The sequence below is a fragment of the Homo sapiens genome, chromosome 2 (assembly GCF_000001405.40).
Source record: "Homo sapiens chromosome 2, GRCh38.p14 Primary Assembly".
Taxonomy (NCBI): domain Eukaryota; kingdom Metazoa; phylum Chordata; class Mammalia; order Primates; family Hominidae; genus Homo; species Homo sapiens.
In genome coordinates, this window is record NC_000002.12 from 18,046,746 (window position 1) to 18,050,373 (window position 3,628).

The 3,628-nt window shown below is 44.9% G+C and overlaps 1 annotated feature.

The window, feature by feature from the left end:
• Nucleotides 700-1,899: an enhancer, noted in NCBI's record as "P300/CBP strongly-dependent group 1 enhancer chr2:18228711-18229910 (GRCh37/hg19 assembly coordinates)". NCBI's record gives its function as "activates an origin of replication core promoter dependent on BRD2, BRD4, P300/CBP, MED14 and CDK7 cofactors, with strong dependence on P300/CBP, by STARR-seq in HCT116 cells {active_cell/tissue: HCT116}" and the evidence as "EXISTENCE:reporter gene assay evidence [ECO:0000049][PMID:35650434]".

Here is a 3,628-nt window from a genome sequence, read left to right on the forward strand (position 1 = left end):
CTTGGCAAGTTAATTACACTCTTGGCTAAGCCTTCTGAGCAGAATGGGAGCTGCTTCCAAGAAGTGCAGATGCTCAGTGGTCTGGTGGCTGCCTCTTCTGGATTCCTGGTTTGAGCTCTCACAAGAGCTCTCCTTGCCCTCCCTGGACTGGGCCCTTATCCTGGGCTCACTGCTCTATCTTTCAAACAACTCTGCCTTTTACCTGCAGTTTTGGGGTGGCCCAGGCGATGGGGTGGAGCTGAGGAGGTAATCCTGCCTGGGAGTGAATGCCACTGTGTGTGTGCACGTCCATGTGTCTCTGGAATGCTGACAGCACTGGGTTGTCTCTTGCCTGAGCATCACTTGACCATCCTGCTTTAAACCGGAGGAGAAATTCTATCAAATGCAAGCCCACTCAGAGCTTGTTTCCTTCTTTATCCTAAATAATTTCAAAGTGCTTCAAGCAGTTTTATAAAAGCAAAAAGCAAGCAGCTGATTTCATTTGGCGACACAGAGGGCTAAATTAGGTCATATTATGTTAGGTCATTCCCAGGGCTAATTAACTGATTGTCCTCATGGTGGCCCAAGGAGTCAGCTGTGCTTGCAGCTGTGCCTAACATAGACCTACTCTGTTAACGCATTCTGGTTTTGCTTTCTGAGGTTTCAGTTACCCATGGTCAATGGCAGTCTGAAAATTTTAAGTGGAAAATTCCAGAAATAAACGATTCATAAGTTTTAAATTGTCTGCCATTGTGAATAGCATGATGAAATCTCATGTAATCCTGCTCTGTCTTGCCGGGGACATGAATCCTCTCTTTGTCCAGTGTCTCCATGCTCTCTACCCTCCCCACCTGTCACTTTGTAGCCCTCTAGGTTGTCAGATCAGCTGTCACAGTATGGCAATGCTTGTGTTCAAGTTACCTTTATTTTATTTAATAATGGCCCAAGGTGCAAAAGCAGTGATGCTGGCAATTTGAATATGCCAAAGAGAAGCCATAAAGTGCTTTCTTTAAGTGAAAGGTGAAAGTTCTCAACTTAATAAAGAAACAAAATCATATGCTGAGGTTGTGAAGAACTGCAGTGAGAACAAATCTATTTGAGAAATTGTGAAGATGGAAAAAGAAATTTGTACATAGTATATATAGGATCTCATACTCTATGTGGTTTCAGATATCCACCGGGGGTCTTGACACATATCCCCCATGAATAAGGGGGGACTACTGTACTCACAGTCTAATGATTTGTTCACAGGGGATTTACATCATTTGATCATCTCAAAAGCCTTGTGTGACAGGTGAGATTATGAACTGTTTCATAACGGAGGAAACTATGGCTCAAGATTAAGTCATGTGCCTCAGGGCACATTCCAGCCACTCCCTGCCCCCAGACTGCCAGGCCTCTCTGAGACTATTAAATCCTCCCTTGGCACTCCACCAACCTATCTCTCTGTGAACTGAGCATTCGATGCTGCTAACATGCCCTCCTCAAAACATTCCACCCCTGTGACTTTCATGACACTGTACCACCCCCTCTGTGCAGTTCAAGGGGGACACTGGATAAGATGATTTTCTCAAAAAGTCCTCAGAACGTCTTCACCTTCTCTGGCTTCATTATCTTGGTGTAGGACGCTACCACCGCCACCACCGCCTTCCCGTTCTCTTCTTCCTCATCCAACATTTCTGGAAACTGGACCAGTGCTCCTTCCAAGTCCTTCTGTATCCGGGCTTATCACTGTAATGGATTAGTCAGGGTGAATAGGGGTTTGGTGCTGGGGTTCTCAACACCGAAAGTAATTCTGGCTACACTGGAATGCATTTTTTTATTAGTCAGTACACAAATGTATACATAGTCCATTTGTTTCCCAAATTAAAATATTTCACAGTGTTTAGAAACAGAAAGTGAACATCAGAATTCTGTGAGGGTATATTTATGGAAGGATGGATTTTTGCAAGAAACATTTGATATGCTGTACTATATTACCTGCTTTAGCTGCCATAACCAAGAACCACAGACTGGGTGGCTTAACAAACAGAAATGTATTTCCTTATAGTTCTGGAGGCTTGAAATCCAAGCTCACGGTGCTGGTGAGTTGGCTTCTCCTGGGCCACTCTCCTTGGCTTTGGATGTCCCCAGCCTTCCCCTGTGTCTTCATATGCTCTTCCCTCTGTGTGTGTCTGTGTCCTAGCCTCCTCTTCTGATGAGGGCACGAGAACCCAACCTGATGTTTTCATTTTAACTTAATTACCTTCTTAAAGACCTTAAACAACTCTGCTTTTTACCTGCAGTTTTGGGGTGGCCCAGACGATGGGGTATGCAGGTATGTTTTAAAGACCTTATCTCCACATAGTCACATTCTGAAGTATTGGGGGTTAGGATTTTAATAAGTGGAATTTGGGGGACACAGTTCAGCTCACAACATATATAGTGTATCTTTTCCAGATAAAAGCAAACACTGTAAAAATATAAATATAGATTAAAAGATACAAGCACAATATTTTTCTGGATTTGCTCTTCTGGGTACTATAGATTGCTTAGCATAACAATCATTTTTATACATTTTTCTTTCAAAAGTTATTATTCTCAAACAGCGGGGAAGGGGTGGAACCTGGAAAAGGTGTTGATTAGGTGGGATGATGGGTCTCACCTGACACATGAAGCCAGGGCTGATGGGCTGATGTGGTGGGTGCTGTATCCAATGGCCTCCTAGAAGAACAGGTGTGCCTGCTGCAGCAGCCTGGCCTCAGGTGGGGCTCTTCTCAGTGTCCCACTGGTTCTGGGCCCTGGGCACATGGGCCTGCAGAGATTAAATGGGGACTGCTGGAGCTCACGTTTCCCGTTGGCTGGGTCCTGTGCTTGGCTGTAGGAGACTCAGGCAGGAATCCACTTGATCCTGACCCTCGGGGCTCACAATACAATGGTAGAGACTTATCTGTCTGAGAAGATAAGAAGTGAGAAGTGAGAAATGAGTTCAAGACCATGCTGTGGGAGCTCGATGAAGGTAGGAGCCAGTTTTACTAGAGGCTGACCCCCTTGCCTGCTCTGACACACAAGCTAGGAAAGCTATGAAAGTTCAGAGGTCACTCCCTCTGAACAAGGCACTGACTCTACCCTTACTGAATTTTACTAATCACCTGTGATTAATGTGGACATCTTTCTGTTTCATAAATAAGAAAGCTGAAGCTGAGAGGATTTTAAATTTTCTTATGTCACACACCTGGATAGTGGCAGGTCATCTACTCAAAAGGTGTTTCTGTTTAAAAAAAAAAAAATTCCACTTGTATTTAACTGTGAGAGGTGTTCATAAACCATAGCTTTGCACACAAGTGTAGACCCACAATCCAGATACAAAGAGAGGATGTGTGATAGGAACACCGGAAGAATCATTCTGTCTCTGCTCCAGTCAGAGACCCAGAAGCGCTGGGTGTTTCAGCTCTCTCCAGCCAGTGGTGGTGACTCCTCAGGTAAACTGGAAAGTCCTGAATTCCATAGGTGGCTCAGACAATCTGCTTACTTGAGTGAGAGTGAGGCACAGTGGCCATTTGCCGAGGCGTGCCACCCTCACTCCAGGAAGGGGCAACTTTTCCTTGTGTCAGCTGCTTCCTGGGTATCTGGATATGAAAGAACCACAGGATCCTCGGATCTCAGGTAG